General features: G+C 46.0%; 1 protein-coding gene and 1 long non-coding RNA gene across 24 annotated transcripts in view, besides 4 other annotated features; one reads left to right on the top strand and one right to left on the bottom strand.

Annotated features, from left to right (window-relative positions):
- RAD52 (RAD52 DNA repair protein) overlaps positions 1–21,169 on the top strand; it is a 79,387-nt gene that overhangs the window by 38,990 nt on the left and 19,228 nt on the right. For 9 of the 23 annotated variants that reach the window (XM_017019770.2, NM_134424.4, XM_047429286.1 and 6 more), the window contains exons 1-3: positions 2,439–2,531; positions 19,057–19,158; positions 20,812–20,913. In XM_017019770.2, coding sequence (XP_016875259.1) covers positions 19,075–19,158; positions 20,812–20,913 — 186 coding nt within the window. In that variant the 5' untranslated portion in view covers positions 2,439–2,531; positions 19,057–19,074. Of the gene's footprint in view, positions 1–2,438; positions 2,731–14,681; positions 15,048–15,250; positions 15,327–19,056; positions 19,159–20,811; positions 20,914–21,169 lie in introns of those variants that run through there. The other 14 variants (XM_017019769.2, XM_005253720.6, NM_001297419.1 and 11 more) reach the window with 6 other exon arrangements.
- Positions 1,950–2,608: an enhancer, noted in NCBI's record as "NANOG-H3K27ac-H3K4me1 hESC enhancer chr12:1058691-1059349 (GRCh37/hg19 assembly coordinates)". NCBI's record gives its function as "activates a minimal SCP1, AML or CMV promoter by ChIP-STARR-seq in naive H9 embryonic stem cells {active_cell/tissue: H9 hESC(naive)}" and the evidence as "EXISTENCE:reporter gene assay evidence [ECO:0000049][PMID:30033119]".
- Positions 2,217–2,486: an enhancer, noted in NCBI's record as "active region_5794". NCBI's record gives its function as "activates an Ori minimal core promoter by ATAC-STARR-seq in GM12878 lymphoblastoid cells {active_cell/tissue: GM12878}" and the evidence as "EXISTENCE:reporter gene assay evidence [ECO:0000049][PMID:35858748]".
- Positions 2,609–3,267: an enhancer, noted in NCBI's record as "NANOG-H3K27ac-H3K4me1 hESC enhancer chr12:1058032-1058690 (GRCh37/hg19 assembly coordinates)". NCBI's record gives its function as "activates a minimal SCP1, AML or CMV promoter by ChIP-STARR-seq in naive H9 embryonic stem cells {active_cell/tissue: H9 hESC(naive)}" and the evidence as "EXISTENCE:reporter gene assay evidence [ECO:0000049][PMID:30033119]".
- Positions 3,037–3,116: an enhancer, noted in NCBI's record as "active region_5793". NCBI's record gives its function as "activates an Ori minimal core promoter by ATAC-STARR-seq in GM12878 lymphoblastoid cells {active_cell/tissue: GM12878}" and the evidence as "EXISTENCE:reporter gene assay evidence [ECO:0000049][PMID:35858748]".
- LOC124902855 (uncharacterized) lies at positions 16,265–20,820 on the bottom strand. Its single transcript, XR_007063155.1, has 2 exons — positions 19,328–20,820; positions 16,265–19,292 (listed from the first exon to the last, which is right to left on the bottom strand). It is a non-coding gene; the product is annotated as an uncharacterized LOC124902855 (long non-coding RNA).

The raw sequence follows: 21,169 nt of genomic DNA, 5'->3' as shown, positions 1-21,169 counted from the left end.
TTTTTACTTAGCTGGGCATGTAGCCTCTGTAATCCTAGCTACTTAGGAGACTGAAGCAGGAGGATCACTTGAGCCCAGGCATTTGAGGTTATAGCGAGCTATGACCGTGCCACTGCACCATAGCCTGGGCAGCAGAGTGAGGTGCTGTCTCTTAGAAAAAAAAGTTTTTCATAAAAAAAAAGAAAACAATATAATATATACAATAACATGCAGGTAGGTAACTTTAAAATACATTTACCCCAAAAATTATGTTTCAGAATTTATAAAATTCAGCTAAAGGAGTTCTTAGAGGAAAATTTATAGTTTAATAGTTTAAATGCCTTTACTTAAAACAAAAAAAGGTTAAAATCATAAGAAACAAAAAGAAAGAAAAGTAAAGTAAACCTAAAGTGAGCAGAAGAAAGGAAGTGATGAAGATAACAATGAAAATCAGTGAAACAAACAAATGGAAAAACAATTGTAGTAATTAATAAAACCATGAGCTGGTTCTTTGAAAAGACAGGTAAAATTAATAAACATCTAGCTGGACTAGTGAAAAAAGGAGAGGACACAAATTACCAAAATCAGAAATGAAAGGACACAACAAAGAAAACAACAGAGTGAGAGAAAATATTTGCAAACCATATATCCAATAAGGGGTTACTATCCTATTCTAAATATGTGAAGAAAGCAAACAACTCATAGCAAAATCAGATCACACGACTAAAAAGGGGGCAAAGGGCACCAGGTGCACTGGTTTACACCTGTAATCCCAGTGCTTTGGAAGGCTGAGACAGGAGAATTGCTTGAGGCCAGGAGTTGTGAAAAGCCTGGACAACATAGAAAGACCTTGTCTCTACAAAAAAATTTTAGATTAGCCAGGTGTGGTGACATATGCTTGTAGTCCCAGCTACCTGGGAAGCTGAGGTGGGAGGATCACTTGAGCCCAGGAGTTAGAGGTTGCAGTGAGCCATGATTGCAGCACTGCAGTACAGTCTGGGCAACAGCTTGATAGCTTGAGACCCTGACTCTTTAAAAAAAAAATCATTTATCAAAAGATGACATACAAATGATCAACAGGTTCATAAAAATGCTCAATATTGGCTGGGCACAGTGGCTCACACCTGTAATCCCAGCACTTTGGGAGGCTGAGGTGAGCAGATCACCTGAGGTTGGGAGTTCGAGACCAGCCTGACCAACATGGAGAAACCCTGTCTCTACTAAAAATTCCCCAGAGGCTGGGGAATAAGGGGCTGGGGGAGATAATGGGGAGATGAAGATGTTGGTCTCAGGGTACAAAGTTAACAGTTAAACAGGAGGAATACAATTTTGAGATTTATTGCACAGCATAGTGACTATAGTTAATAATAATTTATTGTATATTTCAAAATTTCTAAGAGAGTAAGTTGAAAATATCTCGCCACAAAAAGAATGATAAGTGGGCTAGGTGCAGTGGCTCATACCTGTAATCCTAGCACTTTGGGAGGCTGAGGCAAGAGGATCACTTGAGGCGAGGAGTTCAAGACCAGCCTGGGCAACATAGCAAGACCCTGTCGCTACAAAAACTTTTTTTTTTTTTTTTGAGACGGAGCCTCGCTCTGTCGCCCAGGCTGGAGTGCAGTGGGGCGATCTCGGCTCACTGCAGGCTCCGTCCCCCGGGGTTCACGCCATTCTCCTACCTCAGCCTCCCGAGTAGCTGGGACTACAGGCGCCCGCCACCACGCCCGGCTAATTTTTTGTATTTTTAGTAGAGACAGGGTTTCGCCATGTTGCCCAGGCTGGTCTCGAACTCCTGACCTCGTGATCAGCCCGCCTCGGCGTCCCAAAGTGGTGGGATTACAGGCCTGAGCCACCACGCCCGGCCCCAGGGGACATTCTAGAGGGGACTTCGCCCCCCAAGCCGCACTTCTCCATTTCCCTGCGGTCGTCGCTAACCGAAGGCGCCATCCGGTGACGACTGGATGTGCGCGGCGGTGGTGAGAGGCCGCGAGAACCACCAGGTCCACCGCTGCCTCGGCCCGGGCGGAATCTGGGAAGGTCTCTGACAACCATTCATCCTCAGATTTTCCCAATTGTGCATGGGTGGGCGGGCCCCGCATCCTAATGGGCACTGGGCATGTGAAGTGTGAACCACCCGGGCCTAACTAGCCGCTGAAGGCCTGACGAAACCGCCAGGCCCACCAGGGGGCAGCAGAGATCCGACGGCCGCGGACCGAGGGAAGCTGGCGGGAAGTAGGAGGCAGAGGGCGCGCAGGGAAGCGGCAGGGCGAGCGGCTCAGAACGTAAAAGCCAGCACCGCGCCTCCAGGTTGCTTTACGGCTGCCGCAGAAGGCTTTGCGGCTCTTTTCCCCTCCGACTTGATTTACGGTTCCTTCTCTGGTCTGTGTTTTTTTTTTTCCCCCTCCGGCGCTGGGCGTGGGTTCGGACCTTCTTCCCAGAGACGCTCGCGCACCCTTCCCATTCTCCTCTGCGCGGCCTCCATCTAAGATCTCTTCCCCTTGTCCATAGCCTAGATCGAGCTCCCTGTGTGCACCGCGCGCTGCCCGAGGCGCGTAAGTGGGGGAGGAGAGCGGCTTCCCCCGGGGTGGTTCTAGCCGTGGGTGTGGAGCGTGGGAAGGCTCAGCTTCCGGGTCGAGAACCTGGGGCTGCGGTGGACCTGATCCTGAGGTCTCAGCGTAGAGATGCTGAGTCCAGAGGCCTGTTCTAGTTCACCAGTGCAGTGAGGGGCTCAGTATCCGGGCCTCCCGAGAGGTGGGTAGGAAGGCGGGGTACAGGAAACTTGGCACCAACGCGCCGGGACCCCACCGCGGTGCGGACAGCCAGGTGTCCGTGGTGGCGCTTCCTTGGAGATGCTGCCTGCAGACAGGCGTGGGGAATCTGAAGTTTGTGTTAATAGCTAAACGAAGTTGAGTTGCAGGGAGCGGGGGACGCTGGGAAGAAATGATTGATTTAAAAGGAATTTGACGCCGGGCATGGTGGCGGCATGCCCCCATGTTCCCTGGAGGTCAAGCCTGCAGTGAGCCGAGATCGCACCCGTACCACGACACTCCGTCCCGGGCGACAGAGCGAGACCCTGTCACGGGGGAAAAAATAAAAATAAAAATTTGACGCTCACTTTAGCTGAGTATTGAGCCTTGTTATAACATTGAGATAGAGGTCTGGCGCGGCGTCTCACACCTGTAATCCCAGAACTTTGGAAGGCCGATGCGGGAGGATCGCTTGAGGCCAGGAGTTCTACGCCAGCCTGGCTAACATAGCGAAACCCCGTCTCTACTAAAAATACAAAACTAGGCAGGCCTGGTGGCGGGCGCCTGTAATCCCCGCTACTCGGGAGGCGGAGGCATGAGAATCGCTTGAACCCAGTAGGCAGGTGTGCCGGTAAGCCGACATCGCACCACTGCACTCCAGCCTGGGGGACAGAGCGAGAATCCATCCAAAAAAAAAAAAGTTATAATTCACGTACAATTAAATTCACTCCCTTTTTTAAAAAAAAGTGGAGACATAGTCTCGCTCTGTTGCCCAGGCTGGAGTACAGTGGCGCCGTCTCGGCTCACTGCAACGTCCGCCTCCTGGGTTCAAGCGATTCTTTGCTTCAGCCTCTCAAGTAGCTGGAATTACAGGCGCATACCACCACACCCAGCTACTTTGTATTTTTCACCATGTTGGTTAGGCTGGTCTCGAACTCCTCGCCCTTCCAAAGTTCAGGGATTACAGGTGTGAGCCACCACACCCAGTCTAAATTCACCCTTTTAAAGTGTGCAATTCAGTGGTTTTAATATATTCACAAGGTTGTGCAATCACCACTATTATCTAATTCCAGAACATTTTTATCATCCCTAAAAGAAACCTTAAAACCATTAGCAGACACCCATTATTTCCTCCTACTCCCAGCAGCACTAATCTATGAATTTACCCATTCTCAGTACTGTATTATACAATATTTGTTCTTTTGTGTTTGGTTTATTTCACTTCATGATTCAAAGTCCATCTATGTTGTATGTAGCATGTATCAACTTCATTTTTTAAATAACTGAATTATTTATTGTGTGGATATACCACATTTTGTTTCTCCATTTTTGATGGATACTGGTGATTTTCTAGGCTTTCTAGGTCTAGTCCTCCACAGAACTCGCAGTCTGAGGCACAGACATTTAAAACTTAAGTTTTTGGAAACTAGCATTTAACTCTTGGGTTGGGTCAGGTAATTCAGTGGCCTCAGGTCTGGTATCGTTTAGGGCAGTTTTTTTTTTGTTTTTTTTTTTTTTTTGAGATGAAGTTTCACTCTTGTTGCCCAGGGTGGAGTGCAATGGCGTATCTGGGCTCACTGCAACCTCACCTCCTGGGTTCAAGCGCTTCTCCTATCTCAGCCTCCTCGGTAACTGGGCTTACAGGCGCATGCCACTATGCCCGGCTAATTTTTGGTATTTTTAGTAGAGACAGGGTTTCACCATGTTGGCCATGCTGGTCTCGAACTCCTGACCTCAGGTGATCCACCCATCTCGGCCTCCCAAAGTGCTGGGATTACAGGTGTGAGCCACCGCGCCTGGGTGGGAGTTTTGTTTTTTTGTTTGTCTGTTGTTTTTTGGGGGGACAGAGTTTCTCTCAGCCTCCTCGGTAACTGGGCTTACAGGCGCATGCCACTATGCCAGGCTAATTTTTGGTATTTTTAGTAGAGACAGGGTTTCACCGTGTTGGCAATGCTGGTCTCAAACTCCTGACCTCAGGTGATCCACCCGCCTCGGCCTCCCAAAGTGCTGGGATTACAGGTGTGAGCCACCACACCTGGGCGGGAGTTTTGTTTTTTTGTTTGTCTGTTGTTTTTTTGGGGGGACAGAGTTTCGCTCTTGTTGCCCAGGCTGGACTGCAGTGGCGAGATCTTGACTCACTGCCACTTCTGCCTCCTGGATTCAAGCGATTCTCCTGCCTCAGCCTCCCGAGTAGCTGGGATTACAGGTGTGCACCACCACACCCGGCTAATTTTGTATTTTTAGTAGAGAAGGGGTTTCTCCATGTTGGTTACGCTGGTCTCGAACTCCCTACCTCAGGTGATCCTCCCGCCTTGGCCTCCCAAAGTGTTGGGATTACAGGCGTGAGCCACTGCGCCCCTCTGGGAGTGTTTTTTAAAGTGTTCTATTCTCAGTTCACCACTTACCAGGCCGTTAATTATCGTGGTATCAAGCAGAGAAATGTTTGTGTGCTGGTCTTCTCAGGGAGGCAGAAACCGTCAGAGATTGCTGTTGTGTAATGTACACCAAAACGTGTTATCTTGTAGTATAAACGGTGTAGTTGGAGATGAGTGTATGAAAAATGTAACTGAGCTAGCTGTGGGAGAGACTAGTTGTGAAAAATTTTGAGTCACCCACTGTATGCTTTCCCAGCTATGTTCAAATAAGGTGACACTCTGCCTTCCTGTTTCAGCTCTAAAACTGTTCATAAGTGTTATTTTGGCTGTATACGTAGTGCCATGTTTTTTTGTATTTTTGTGCTTTTGGTGATTTTGCTGTTTATAGGGGCCTCCAAGAATAGAAGTGCTGTCTAGCATTTCCAAGTTGAAGGCTGTGATATATCTTATAGAGAAAAGATAAGCTTTTAGATTAGCTTTGTTCAGGCATCACTTTTGTTGTTGGCTGTGAGTTCATGTTACTGCATCAACAATATATATTAAATAAGATATCTTTAAACAGAAGCACACATAAAACAAGGTTATGTATTGGCCTGTTGAGTAACCCTGTATTTCCCCTGGGAGCAGTGGCTCAGTATTTGCTAGTTCAGTGTTCATGATGGCTTTACAGGACATAACTACCCTGAATAATGAGAACTGACTGTCTCAGTAGTGCTTCAAGGGCAGAAAGCCTAGTGGATATTTTTCCATCTCTGCAGCTTTTAGCATTTCTTCACTCAAGGCACTCATTTTTAATATTGAACTGGCAGTTTTGATGTGGAGAGAAGCTAAAATAAGGCTAAAATGCTCTTCATACTATGTGCTGAGTGGGGACTGTGCTGAGTGTTGGGGATTCAGTGATTAGTGTATGGCCCCGCAGTTCTCTAATGGCTGAGTGTGGGAGTGCAGAGAAATGATCAGTGTGAGGGAATTAATCCTATGTTCCCACCGTGTTTTTTTGTTTTTTTTGAGACGGAGTTTCACTCTTGTCGCCCAGGCTGGAGTGCGGTGGCGTGATCTCGGCTCACTGCAACCTCCGTCTCCCAGGTTCAAGCGATTCTCCTGCCTCAACCTCCCGAGTAGCTGGGATTACAGGTACCCGCCACCGTGCCCAGCTAATTTTTGTATTTTTAGTAGAGACGGAGTTTCACCATGTTGGCCGGGCTGGTCTCGAACTCCTGACCTCATGATCTGCCTGCCTCGGCCTCCCAAAGTGCTGGGATTACTGGGTTCCCACAAATTTTAAGACTTACTTCAGGCCAGGTGTGGTGGCTTATGCCTGTAATCCCAGCATTTTGGGAGGCCGAGGTGGGCAGATCACCTGAGGTCAGGAGTTCGAGACCAGCCTGGCCAACATGGTGAAACCCCTGCCTCTACTAAAAGTACAGAAAATTAGCTGGGTGTGGTCGCGCATGCCTGTAGTTCCAGCTACTCAGGAGGCTGAGGCACCAGAATCACTTGAACCTGGGAGGTGGAGGTTGCAGTGAGCTGAGATTGCGCCACTGTACTCCAGCCTGGGCAACAGAGTGTCTCCCCCTCAAAAAAAAAAAGACATACTTCAGAGTGTGGTGAGCTGCATAAGGCTTTAGAGGTAATGACATTTTGAGATTTCAATTAAAAATTTTTTTTCTACTTTTTTTTTTTGAGACAGAGTCTCACTCTTGCTCAGGCTAGAGTGCAGTGGTGCGATCTTGGCTCACTGCAACCTTCGCCTCCTGGATTCAAGCGATTCTTGTGCCTTAGCCTCCTGAGGAGCTGAGATTACAGGCACCTGCCACCATGCCCAGCTAATTTTTGTATCTTTAGTAGAGAAGAGGTTTCATCATGTTAGCCGGGCTGGTCTTGAACTCCTGACCTCAGGTGATCTGTCTGCATTGGCCTTCCAAAGTGCTGAGATTACAGATGTGAGCCACCGTGCCTGGCCACTTTTTTTCTACTTTTGCTAATTTTTTTAAAGTTTCATGAACATTATAGTACTGTGTTCATAAATGAAAATAAAAGAAACTTGCTCCAGTCTTGTTCATCAAGCCGTTCTTGACCTTCACAGTCAGAATCTCACCCATCACCTTGTCACATCTCCCTCTTGATCTGTATATCCAGAGTCCACCTGACATGCTTCTTCAGCCCTCCACATATAATAAGAAATGGTTTTGTGAGCCGAGATTGTGCCATTGCACTGCAGCTTGGGCAACAGTGTGAGACTCCTCAAAAAAAAAAAAAAAGAAAGAAAAATGCTTTTAGGTGATAAGGAAATGGAGAAGAATAAAACATCTTTGCCAGTCTTTACCTTTTTAATATCTTGAATTCATGATTTCTTGCCATAGCCACTATCCTAGTCCAGGCTCTCTCCCTTCTACCCCTGAGTTTTTTTTTTTTTTTTTTTTACCATGTTTTTATTTCCTCTGGGAAAACACCTATCAGAATTTTGGGATCATATGACAGATACATATTTAATTTCTTTCTTTCTTTTTTGAGACAGGGTCTTCCTCTGTTGCCCAGGCTGGAGTGTAGTGGTATGATCATGGCTCACTGCAGCCTTGACCCCTTCCTCGCCCCCGCTCAAGTGATCCTCCCACCACAGCTTCCTGAGTAGCTGGGACTGCCGGCATGCTCCACCATGCCCGACTAACGTTTTGCTGCTTGTAGAGACAGCCATGTTCCCTAGGCTTGTCTTGAACTCCTGAGCCTCAAGCGATCCTTCCACTTCAGCCTCAAGTGCTGGGATTACAGGCGTGAGCCACCACTCCTGGCTACTTAATTTCTTTCTTTCTTTTTTTTTGAGACAGTCTCGTTCTGTCACCCAGGCTGGAGTGCAGTGGGGTGATCTCTTCTCACTGCAGCCTCTACCTTCCAGGCTGAAGCAAGCCTTCCACCTCAGCCCCCTGAGTAGCTAGGACTACGGGAACATTCCACCAGGCCCAGCTAATTTTTGTATTTTTTGTAGAGATGGAGTTTCATGATGTTGGCCAGGCTGGTCTTGAACTCCTCACCTCATGCAATCCGCCTGCCTCAGCCTCCCAAAGTGCTGGGATTACAGGTGTGAGCAACTGCACCCAGCGGGCCCCGCCCAGACCTATTTTCAAAATTAGAAAACCGTGAGGCTTCTGGAAGAAGATGAGAAGAATATCTTCATGACCTGAGTGTGTGCAAAGGTTTCTTAGGGCTCAGGATGCCAGAGTCACTTAAAAAAGCAAAAAAAACCCAAAAAAAAAACCACACACACAAAGATAAATATGATTGATTACATCAAAATGTAATCACAGACTACTCTAAGAAAATGAATGGGGAAACACAGGGACCTATTTGACAAAAGACTGATATTCAAGATAAATAAAGAACTAATAGGCCAGGCGCGGTGGCTCACGTCTGTAATCCTGGCACTTTGGGAGGCCGAGGCGGGGGGATCACTTGAGCTCAGGAGTTCGAGACCAGCCTGAGCAATATAGTGAAACCCCATCTCTACTAAAAATACAAGAATTAGAATTAGCTGGGCGTGATGGCACGTGCCTGTAGTCCCAGTTACTCGGGAGGCTGAGGCTGGAGAATTGCTTCAGTCAGGAAGATGGAGGTTGCAGTGAGCCGAGATTGTGCCACTGCACTCCAGCCTGGGCGACTGAACAAGACTTCGTCTCAAAAAACCAGTAGGGCTCCAGGCCTGGGATTGGGCCTCTGCTGCTCTACTCCCTGGACGTGTGGCTCCGTCCTTGGAGTCGGCCTTTGGTTTTCATGAAGAGTAGTGTGCATTAACAGCTGAGTGGTTTTATCAGCCTGTTTCCTGCCAACAGTGTATGAGAGTTCCAGTTGCTTTACATCCTTGCCAGCATTTGGTGTTGTCAGTCTTTTGAGTTATTCTGATGGGTGTGGTGTGTCATGGTCTTAATTTTAGTCCTCAGTCACTAATGGTGTTTAGCACTTTTTCCTGTGCCCATGACAATGTGCATCTTCCTTTGTGAAGTGCCTGCTCAAATCTTTTGCCCATTTTACATTGGGTTGTGTGTCTTTTTATTATTGAGTTGTAGCAGTTATTTATATAACCTTTATATCCTGGTTACCTGTCCTCTGTCTGGTTGCCTATTCATTTTCTTAGAGTTGTCTGATGAACAGAAGTTTTACATTTTGATGTAATCAGTTTTCTCTTATATTTTCTTTTATAGTTACTGCTTTCTGAGTCCTAGGAAATCTTGGCTACCTTCAGGCTGTGAAGATAATCTTTCATGTTTTCTTCTGTAAGTTTTTTTTTTTTTTGAGACAGAGTCTTGCTCTGTCGTCCAGGCTGGAGTGCGGTGATGGCGATCTCCGCTCACTGCAACCTCTGCCTCCCAGGTTCAAGCGATTCTCCTGCCCCAGCCTCCCGAGTAGCTGGGATTACAGACATGCGCCACCATGCCCAACTAATTTTTGTATTTTTATTAGAGACAGGGTTTCACCAGGTTGGCCAGGTTGGTCTTGAACTCTTGACCTTGTGATCCACCCGCCTCGGTCTCCCAACATGCTGGGATTATAGGCGTGAGCCACCGTGCCCGGCCTATAAATTTTATAGTTTTAGTTTTATGTTTAAGCCTATCACCCATTTCTAGTTTAGGTGAATGGTGTGAGATATAATTAAATATTAATTTCTTTTCCATATAGATATCCAGTCATTCCAGCACCATTTGTTGAAAATGCTATTGTATTGCGTTTTGGAAATTAAGATGACTGTACAAATGGTAATTGATGTCTGCACTCCCTTTTCTGTTCCATTGTTCAATCCTTGTGTTAGTACCACACTTTTAATTACTGTAGCTTTTTAGTAAGTCTTGAAGTCATGTAGTTGTAGGTCTTCCAATTTTGTTGTTTTCAAGCTTGATGTGAATATTCTAAATCCTCTGCATTTCCATATAAATATCAGAATTATCTTTACCAGTTTTACAGAAAAGTCTGGTAAAGTTGTGATTGGGATTGCATTGAATCTATGGATCAATTTGGAAAGAAATGACACCTAAACAGTATTGAGTCTTCAAATATATGAACTTGGTGCATTTTCCTTCTTATTTAAGCCTTTTAAAATTTCTTTTTAGGCCGGGTGCAGTGGCTTATGCCTGTAATCCCAGCACTTTGGGAGTCTGCAGCGGGCAGATCAGCTGAGGTCAGGAGTTCGAGACCAGCCTGGCCAACATGGTGAAACCCCGTCTCTACTAAAAATACAAAAATTAGCCAGGTGTGGTGGCAGGTGCCTGTAGTCTCAGCTACTTGGGAGGCTGAGGCAGGAGAACTGCTTGAACTTGCTCAGGAGGTGGAGGTTGCAGTGAGCTGAGATAGTGCCATTGCACTCCAGCCTGGGCAACAAGAGCAAAACTCTGTCTCAAAAAATAATAATAATAAAAATAAAAATTTTGGGCCAGGTGTGGCGGCTCACACCTGTAATCCCAGCAATTTGGGAGGCTGAGCCGGGTGGATCACCTGAGGTCAGGAGTTTGAGACCAGCCTGACCAACATGGAGAAACCCTGTCTCTACGAAAAATACAAAATTTGCCAGGCATGGTGGCGCATGCCTGTAATCCCAGCTACTCTGGAGGCTGAGGCAGGAGAATCACTTGAACCTGGGAGGCAGAGGTTGCAGTGAGCCGAGATGGTGCCATTGCACTCCAGCCTGGGCAACAAGAGTGAAACTCTGTCTCAAAAAAAAAAAATTCTTTTAGTTCTGTTTTATGGTTTTCAGTTCAGAAGTCTTATACATATTTTGTTAAATTGATTTCTAGATATGTTTCTTACCTTTATTGTAAAATGGAGCCATCATTTGCATCATTCATTACTCTGTATGTAATGTGTTATCATTCTCTACCTGCTTTCAAGATTTTCTCTTTATTTTTGTTTTTTAGCAGTTTGTCTGTGGTGTATCTAGGTGTCATTTTATTTGTATTTATCCGGAGATTTATTCTTGAGATTTGCAGAGCTTCTTAAATCTGTAAATTTATGTCTGTCGGCCAATTTGGGAAATTTGGAGCTATTAGTTTTAAAAATATTTCTTCTGTTCCATTCTCTTTCACTTCTTCTGTATGTGAGTTCAATTTCACTTCAATTGTATGTGAGTTAGACATTTTGATATTAGCCCACAGGATCCTGAGGTTCTTTCATTCTTTTCAATCTTTTTTTTTTCTCGAAGTTTGCATTTCGTGAGCAGGAGTGACAGTCATTCAGGATGATTTTTGAGATTCCTAGTTCAAGAGTAGTTCCTATTCTTTTCTAGGTGTAGTCAAGTATGGCTTCTAATTCTACTAGAAGGCTTTTTTGTCGGGGAGGTGGTTCTATGTCCTTTGGCTCTTACATTTTCTTTGTGTCTTTCACAGCACAGTTTTCAGAGGGTACCCTTTCTCTTTGGTTTTGTTTTGTTTTGTTTTGTTTTAGACGGAGTCTTGCTCTGTCTCCAGGCTGGAGTGCAGTGGCGCAATCTTGGCTCACTGCAACCTCTGCTCACTGCTACCTCTGCCTCCCGGGTTCAAGCAATTCTCCTGCCTCAGCTTCCTGAGTAGCTGGGACTACAGGCACGCGCCACCACACCCAACTAATTTTTGTATTTTTAGTAGAGACTGGGTTTCATCATGTTGGCAAGGCTGTTCTCCATCTCTTGACCTCGTGATCCGCCCGCCTTGGCCTCCCAAAGTGCTAGGATTACAGGCGTGAGCCACCGCGCCCGGCCAACAGAGGGTACCCTTTCATTCTTTTTCTCCTTCTTCCCAGAAGGCTTGCGTTTTCAAGACTACCTCATCAAGTTCTGCATGTGTTTAAAAGTGTCTCTACCCGACCTTCCCTTCCTCCCTCCCGATTTAACGGAATTCTTTGTTGGTGTTTTCATACTTACCGTGAGTTTTCTTTTTCAGGGTGATATTTTAGTTCCATCTTAGGCTCTCCATTGTCCTCTTCTCTCTTCTTTTTTTTTTTGAGACAGAGTCTCATTCTGTCACCCAGGCTGGAGTGCAGTGGTGTGATCTCTGCTCACTGCAACCTCTGCCTCCCAGGTTCAAGTGATTCTCCTGCCTCAGCCTCCCGAATAGCTGGGATTACAGGCGCACACAACCACGCCCACCTAATTTTTGTATTTTCAGTAGAGACGGGGTTTCACCATCTTGGCCAGGCTGGTCTCAAACTCCTGACCTCGTGATCCGCCTGCCTCAGCTTCCCAGAGTGCTGGGATTACAGGCATGAGCCACCGCGCCCGGTGCGCCCAGCCCTCTTCTCTCTTCTTTGCATCTCTCTTCCTATCTGGATCCCTCTTTGCTGTCCTTAAAGAGCTGAGATGAGAGATTGAGAAACATCTCTACAAGAAATTGACGTTTTTCTACTTATGGGTAATTAGAAGCTTGTAGTATTTTCAGTCTTCTAAGTATGTTGAAGATATGAGACGTTGGTGATTTTCTTTGTTTCTCCGGTTGGTTGGTCTGTGTAGTTTTTGGACATGTGTTTGGATATTTGGATTTATATAGCTGCCATAATCTTGGCTATGCAGGTAGTCTTTCCTGACACTTCATCCTGAAAGATTTGAAGCCTTTGGACAAATTTTACAGTGGGCTGGGTGCAGTGGCTCACGTCTGTAATCCCAGTGCTTTGGGAGGCTGGGCAGGAAGATTGCTTGAGCCCAGGAGTTTGAGACCAGCCTGGACAACATAGTGAGACCCGTGTCTCTACAAAAAATAAAAAATATGCCGTGTGTGGCGTTATACAACTGTAGTCCCAGCTACTTAGGAGGCTGAGGTGGGAAGATCACGAGCCAAGGAGTTTGAGGGTACGGTGAGCCATGATCGCCTCACTGCACTGGGTGGCACAGCGAGACTGTCTCAAAAAAAAAATTTACAATTAATGTCTGCATATCCTTCACCTAGGTTCATAAATTTGTACTTTTGCTTTATCTACTTGCCTTTTTCTCTCTCTCTACACACACACACACACACACACACACACACACAATTAGTTGAATGAATTGAGAGTAAGTTGCAGAAAACATGACACTTTACTCCAATATTGCATCATACAAAATCATACATCTAGTGATAGGCCATTGTCCTACAGAATCACGATATAATTATCACACTAACCAGCTGTGGTGGTGCACACCTGTAGTCTAAGCTACTCGGGAGGCTGAGGCAGAAGGATCACCTGAGCCCAGGAGGTTGTGGCTGCAGTCTCATATTCATCCCATCATCAGATTTCTCCCATTGTCCTAATAATATTCTTTATAGCTTTTCTTTATCCCTGATCCGAAATTTCATTGAAGATCACACAGTGCATTTAGTTGTCATGCCTCTTAAGTCTTTATTTATTTATTATTTATTTTTTGAGATGGAGTCTTGCTCTGTTACCCAAACTGGAGTGCAGTGGCATGATCTTGGCTCATGCAACCTCCACCCGCTGGGTTCAAGTGATTATCCTGCTTCAGCCTCCCGTGTTGCTGGGACTACAGGTGTGTGCCACCATGCCCAGCTACTTTTTATATTTTTAGTAGAGACGGGAATTGTACCATGTTGGCCAGGCTGGTCTTGAACTCCTGAGCTCAGATGATCCACCCGCCTTGGCCTCCCAAAGTGCTGGGATTACAGGCGTGGGCCACCACACCCAGCCTTAAGCCTCTTTTAACATAAAAGAGTTCACCAGCCATTCTATTTTGTTTTGCTTTTTGAGACACTGATGCTTTGGAGAGTCCAGGCCAGTTGCTTTGTAGATTTCAACTTGTTTGATTGTTTCCTGATGATTAGGTTGGTAGAAATACTACCTCAATGATGGGACCTTCTTAGTGCGTCCATCAGGAAGCACATGATGTGACTGTAATTGGTGACATTAAGTTTGATTCCTTAATAATTAAGGTGGTAACTCCCAGGTTTCTACATTGTAAAGGCATCTTTTGCCGCCCTCCTTTTTATTCCCAAGTAGTTTATTTGGAGATTAGTCCTTTACACAGTAGAGGAGCGGGGAAGGGAGACAGGAAAGGAAAGTTTGACAACAAAGGGTGAGTTTTCAAGCCTGTTGCCACGGGGGAACCTAATTCCACTGGAGAAGCTCATGGCTTGGTGATGTTCCACAGAGGGGTCAGAAATTTAGCGTATTTCAACACCAGCTCCTGTCAGGCACCATTTGAGGGCTGCTGCCAGGGTGGTTCAATTTTCTGGTGCTTACAGCTTGCCATAAACAGGTGCAAAGTAGTCTGGATACCAAAGAAAGCTCTCAGGTAACAAGATGCAGATGTTGGCATTTGGAAGTCAGAATAGGGTGCACTATTGTGGTAAGAGCTGAAGGGATGGCTGGGCGCGGTGGCTCACACCTGTAGTCCCAGCACTTTGGGAGGATGAGGCAGGCGGATCACCTGAGGTCAGAAGTTCGAGAGCAGCCTGGCCAACATGACGAAACCCCGTCTCTACTAAAAATACAAAAATTAGCCAGGCGTGGTGGTGGATGCCTGTAATCCCAGCTATTCAGTAGGCTGAGGCAGGAGAATTGCTTGAATCTGGGAGGTGTAGGTTGCAGTGAGCTGAGATCACACCACTCTGCACTCCAGCCTGGGTGACAGAGCGAGACTCTGTCTCAGAAAAAAAAAAAAGCTGAAGGGATGCTGAGTAGAGCATCCGTAGTGTCTGCTATACCTGGGTACCCTAGAACCTGGAGAACCTACAGCTTGAGGCAAGAGCGTATGTGCTATTATTTTTTCAAGAAGTGTGCTCTCAGGAAGCAGAGGTAGGGGAAAGGTGAGTGAAGGGAGAAGGAAGATTAAGTCAGTTCAAGGGTGCATTTTGAAGTTGGTTGCCCTTGGTGCAAGTACAGTTGGTTGCTTGTTCTCCTAAAGCTGTCTCCCAGGAGGATGTATACATAACTGCATTCCAGGGCAATCCATCTAAAGGAAGGGTGGACGGACCCCTCAGCTTCTGTATCTCACTGGAAAAAGGTTTGCTTCATGGCACATTAATTCCCATAGACTTCTAGGTTGTGCATGTGTGGGTACCAGGTGGGTCCCACAGACCCTTACACCTCCAAGGCAAGCAGCAAGCCACGGGTGGGAAGTGATAGGTACCCAGTATGAGCAGGAGGTAAGGGACCGTGGGGTTGTGCCTGTGGGCAGTTGGTTATAACCCAGACGTGTTTGATCAGCCCAGTGACAGCTGGAGTGGACAAAGTGACCAAGGGCCTCAAGGACACACAAGGCCAAGAAGATTTGAAGTGCTGTGTAAGATATGCCTAATGCATTTGGATTCTACCTTTGTTTAACGAATATGCACACATAAAAAACACTTGAACTCCTTGAGCCCAGGAGTTCAAGACCAACCTGGGCAACATAGTGAGACACTCATCTCTAAAAAAATTTTAAAAAAAATTAACCTGGCATGATAGCACTCACCTGTAGTCCTGTCTACTCTGGAGGCCGCAGTGGGAGGATCACCTGAGCCCTGGAGGTCAAGGTTACAGTATGCTATGATTGCACCACTGCATTCCAGCCTGGGTAACAGAGCAAGACGCTGTCTCTTAAATTTTTTTTTTTTTTTTTTTTACTTTTATAATGGAAAAACCATTGTAGACAGTTTTAGGAAGGAAAGCAGAATAGTAAGACATCTTTTTCAAAGTAAAAGAGCAAAAAAGGCAAAAAATATTTCACATTTACTTTATGGACAAAGATAAGATTGTCCTTCAATAAAAGACTGAATTTTTTTTGTTTGTTTTGTTTTGTTTTTTGAGAAAGAGTCTTGCTCCATTGCCCAGGCTGGAATGCAGTGGTGTGGTCTCGGCTCACTGCAACCTCCGCCTCCCGGGTACAAGCAATTCTCCAGCCTCAGCCCCCCGAGTAGCTGGGACTACAGGCACGCGCCACTGCATCTGGCTAAGTTTTGTATTTTTAGTAGAGATGGGGTTTCACCATGTTGACCAGGCTCGTCTTGAACTCCTGACCTCAGGTTATCCACCTGCCTGGGCCTCCCAAAGTGCTGGGATTACAAGTGTGAGCCACCGTGCCCGGCCACAAGTTGCTCTTTAAATGTGAGAAGTGTTCTGGCATGGTGGCTCACACCTGAGGCGGGTGGATCACTTGAGGTCAGGAGTTCGAGATCAGGCTGGCCAACATGGTGAAACCCCGTCTCTAGTTATTTATTTATTTATTTATTTATTTATTTATTTATTTATTTTTTTGAGACGGAGTTTCACTCTTGTTTCCCAGGCGGGAGTGCAATGGCGCAATCTCGGCTCACTGCAACCTCCGCCTTCCGGGTTCAAGCGATTCTCTTGCCTCAGCCTCCTGAGTAGCTGGGATTACAGGCATGCACCACCACACCCGGCTAATTTTGTATTTTTAGTAGAGACGGGGTTTTTCCATGTTGGTCAGGCTGGTCTCGAATTCCTGACCTCAGGTGATCTGCCCTCCTCAGCCTCCCGAAGTGTTGGGATTACAGGCGTGAGCCACCACGCCCGGCCCTGTCTCTACTAAAAATGCAAAATTTAGCCGGGCATGGTGGCGCACACCTGTAATCTCAGCTACTCAGGAGACTGAAGCAGCAGATTCGCTTGAACCCAGGAGGTGAAGGTTGCAGTGAGCTGAGACCACACCACTGCAGGGCAGCCTAGGCGACAAGAGCGAAACGCTTACAAAAAAAAAAAAAAAAAAAGATTCACAGGTGATGGTGATGCTGCTGGTTAAGGAAGTGAAGTGGCTTTTTGCTCTGTAGCCTTCCTGAATGTTGGGGCCTCCTGCTCTTCATTTGTTTCATTTCTATTAAGTCTCCTCCCTCCAGCTATCTTGTTAGCTCCTGGAAAGCATTTCAGTGATTGTGGCTTCTATTTCTTTTTGACCCCACAGTGTCCAGGGTCATGCTGCCTATATAGTAGTGAGCAGTAAGTTGAGGTTTTTAAAAACTTTATTATTATTATTTTTGAGATGGAGTCTTGTTCTGTCACCCAGGCTGGAGTGCAGTGGCACAATCTCAGTTCACTGCAACCTCTGCCTCCCAAGTTCAAGTGATTCTCCTGCCTCAGCCTCCCGAGTAGCTGGGACTACAGGCGCCTGCCACCACATCCGGCTAATTTTTTTGTATTTTTAGTACAGATGGGGTTTCACTATGTTGGTCAGGCTGATCTCGAACTCCTGACCTCAGGTGATCCGCCTGCTTTGGCCTCCCAAAGTGTTAGGGTTACAGGTGTGAGCCACCACACCTGGCCGGTTTTTTTAAACTTTAAAACAGATTCACTTGATTTTTCTTCCCTACCCCCCAGCTTTTTTGAGGTATGACTGACAAAAATTGTATATATTTAGGGTGTACAATGTGATGATTTGATATGTGAATGCACTGTGAAATGATTACCACAGTCAAGGTAATTCACATATCCACCACCTCCCAGTTACCCTCTTAGCTAGTACAGGTTGGGTATTGCTTCTCTGAAATGCTTTGGGACCAGAAGTGTTTTGGACTTCAGATTTTGGAATATTTGAATATATATAATCAGATATCTTGGGAAGGGGACCCAAGTCTAAACATGAAATTCATTTGTTTTCAGAGCCTAAAGATGATTTTTTTTTTTTTTTTTTTTTGAGATGGAGTCTCACTCTCGCCCAGGCTGGAGTGCCGTGGCACAATCTCAGCTCACTGCAACCTCTGCCTCCCAGGTTCAAGCGATTCTCCTACCTCAGCCTCCCAAGTAGCTGGAATTACAGGCTCGCACTACCACACCCGGCTAATTTTTGTATTTTTATAAAGACATTTCACCATGTTGGCCAGGCTGGTCTCAAACTCCTGACCTCAGGTGATCCGCCCGCCTCAGCCTCCCAAAGTGCTGGGATTATAGGTGTCAGTGACTGCGTCTGGCTGATAATTGAATTTTTCTCTTGGAGAAGCTGAATAAACTGTGTGTTGTGTGCCTGCCTTTTTTTTTGTTTTTTTTTTTTTTTGAGACAGAGTCAGACACTCTGTCACCCAGGCTGGAGTGCGATGGGGTGGTCATAGCTCACTGCAGCCTCAAACTCCTGAGCTCAAGCGATCCTCCCACATCAGCCTCCTAAGTAGCATAGCACCACGCCTGGCTAATTTTTAAATTTTTTGTAGTGATGGGGTTTTGTTGTCTAGGCTAGTCTCAAACTCCTGGGCTCAAGCAGTCCTTCTGCCTTGGCCTCCCAAGGTGGTAGGATTATAGGTTTGAGCCACCATGCCTGGCCATTACCTGTGTTTTGACTATAACACATCATGTTGGCACTCAAAACGTTTTGGATTTTGGAGCATTTTGAATTTTGGATTTTTGGATTAGCAATGTTCCACCTATAGTACATTTTTTGTTTGCTTTCCCATAAAGAATTTTTTGTAATTTTGATTTTATAGTTCTAAATGTAATATATTCTTATTGTAAAAATCACCTTTAATAGCACCGCCAGAATAGCAAACATGTTAACAGAAAGGTAGAAGTAGACCTTAAAGAATCTTCAGCAGCTTGAGAGACCACAGCTAACCACTGAGGAACTCTGTTCTGGATTGGAGCAGTGCTTAGAAGCTTATAAATAACTCTTAGGGTATTGCATAGGGATTCTTTTTTTTTTTTTTTCCTGAAATGGAGTCTCGCTCTGTCGCCCAGGCTGGAGTGCAGGGTGTGATCTCAGATCACTGCAACCTCCGCCTCCTGGGTTCAAGCAATTCTTTGCCTCAGCCTCCCGAGTAGCTGGGATTACAGGCGCCTGCCACCATGCCCAGCTAATTTTTTTGGATTTTTAGTAGAGAGGGGGTTTCACCATGTTAGCCAGGATGGTCTCCATCTCCTGACCTTGTGATCCACCCACCTCGGCCTCCCAAAGTGCTGGGATTACAGGCATGAGCCACTGTGCCTGGCCGCATAAGGATTCTTTATGTGATTTTTCAGTAGAGGCTCTTGCCTTTTACTTTAAACATTCTTTGAGGGTTGTTTTTTTTTTCCGCTTTTTATTTATATAGAGGTCAACCAGAATCAAGATGTCTGGGACTGAGGAAGCAATTCTTGGAGGACGTGACAGCCATCCTGCTGCTGGCGGCGGCTCAGTGTTATGCTTTGGACAGGTAACTGTGGTTCCTTCATGCCGGGAAAGAATGAGGTGAAGTGAGTAAAGTTAGGGCAAGGCAGTTTGTAGAGCATCGTAGTACATGTGTGAGCAGTACCTAGTACGTTTACCTAGTACGTGTGTGAGCAGTACCTAGTACGTTTACCTAGTACGTGTGTGAGCAGTACCTAGTACGTTGACGCGGTGCGTGCGGGGGCAGTACCTAGTACGTTTACATAGTACATGTGTGAGCTATTTGTTATTGGTTTTTCCTTTAGATGCATTTTTTGGGAGTCTTGTGAACTCTGGAGGGCATTTTGGAATGTTAGCTATCAAAAGACTGATAGTACTGGGGATTAGATTTAGATTTTAAATTTTTTGTGGGGGGGGATAGATAACATATTTGTATGACATCAAATTCAAAATGAAACTGTGAAAATCTCCCTATTTCCTATTGCCCCTGTGTGCATGCCACCCAGTTCTATTTCTTTTTTTTTTCGAGACTGAGTCTTGCTTTGTCACCCAGGCTGCAGTGCAGTGGTGCGATCTCAGCTCACTGCAACTTCCACCCTCTGGATTCAAGCAATTCTCCTGCCTCAGCCTCCCAAGTAGCTGGGATAACAGGCATGCACCACCATGGCCAGCTAATTTTTATATTTTTAGTAGAGATGGGGTTTAACCATGTTGGCCAGGCTGGTCTCGAACTCCTGACCTCAGGTGATCCGCCTGCCTCGGCCTCCCAAAGTGTTTGGATTACAGGCGTGAGCCACCACGCCCGGGCTTAATTTTTTTGTATTTTTAGTAGAGATGTGGTTTCACCATGTTGGCCAGGGTAGTCTTGAACTCCTGACCTCGTGATCTGCCTGCCTCGGCCTCCTAAATGCTGGAATTACAGGCATGAGCCACCGCGCCTGGCTCCAGTTGTCTTTCTTGGAGGCATGGAAAGTTACTGGGGGTCCTATTCCTTGTAGGGACATTGTGTGCACAGAAAAGAGTTTCTTGCTTTGTCCACCCAAACTCCATCTTTGTCTTTAGCAGAGAGTTGTGAGTATTCATCTCATCTGAGCAGGGCAAGGGGGACAAAACCCAAATCAGCAAGCAGTAGTGTGTTTCTGTTTGTGCAGGATGGGAAATTGTTGTATTGGAGAAGGCGTCAATCTCTGGAAAGGACAAATGGAAGCAAGGCTTCCTACCCCCGTGCTCTTTCCGTACTTGCTTCCTGTGCTGACGTCATTTACAGATCTGGAGGCAGAACATTTTAGCTTCCTAAGCTTCAGAAACATTTATAAGGATGGTAGCAGCAGCTAAGGCAGCAGTTCTCAAAATGCAGTTCTCAAAAACCCTGGGGTTTCTGAAGATCTTTCAGAGTCCAGAAGGTCAAAATTATCTTCATAATAATACTATTTGCCTCTTTCACACTCATTGTCTCATGAGTGAATGGTAGAGTTTTCAGAGAGTGCATGATATGTGGTGATGTCACTGCTATGATGCCTAATGGCATGCATGCCTTAAAAGTTTCTCAGTTTTGATTCCTAATAGGATACATAGAACCCACATAAACAAAGGTTCTGGGGGGTCTTTTTAAGAGTATAAAGTCTCCATAAAGGATGGAGACTCAATGATGTGAGGAATGGTGGAAGTGTGAATTTAATTTTCTTTTTTGGGGTTGCAGTGCCAGTACACAGCAGAAGAGTACCAGGCCATCCAGAAGGCCCTGAGGCAGAGGCTGGGCCCAGAATACATAAGTAGCCGCATGGCTGGCGGAGGCCAGAAGGTAGGAGAATTCATGTGCCTGGAAAGCAGGCATCCATACCGCAGACTCCGATGGTCTTGCCAGTTCCCTCTCTGGGTCCTCAGGGATTCGGAAGTCTGCTGTTAACTGTTCCTGGAGGTCTCCCAGTGCCCCTGGGAGGGGATGGGTTCCAGACTTCATTCTCATCCGAAGGGGCCTGGGCATGGTCTTGACACTCGCATAACCGCCGTCTTAAGATTTTTACATCATCTTTTTTTTTTTTTATTTTTAAAGACAG

This window comes from Homo sapiens, chromosome 12 (assembly GCF_000001405.40).
Source record: "Homo sapiens chromosome 12, GRCh38.p14 Primary Assembly".
Taxonomy (NCBI): domain Eukaryota; kingdom Metazoa; phylum Chordata; class Mammalia; order Primates; family Hominidae; genus Homo; species Homo sapiens.
The sequence above is the reverse complement of the archived record's forward strand: the minus strand, read 5'-3'. Positions and strand labels throughout refer to the sequence as shown.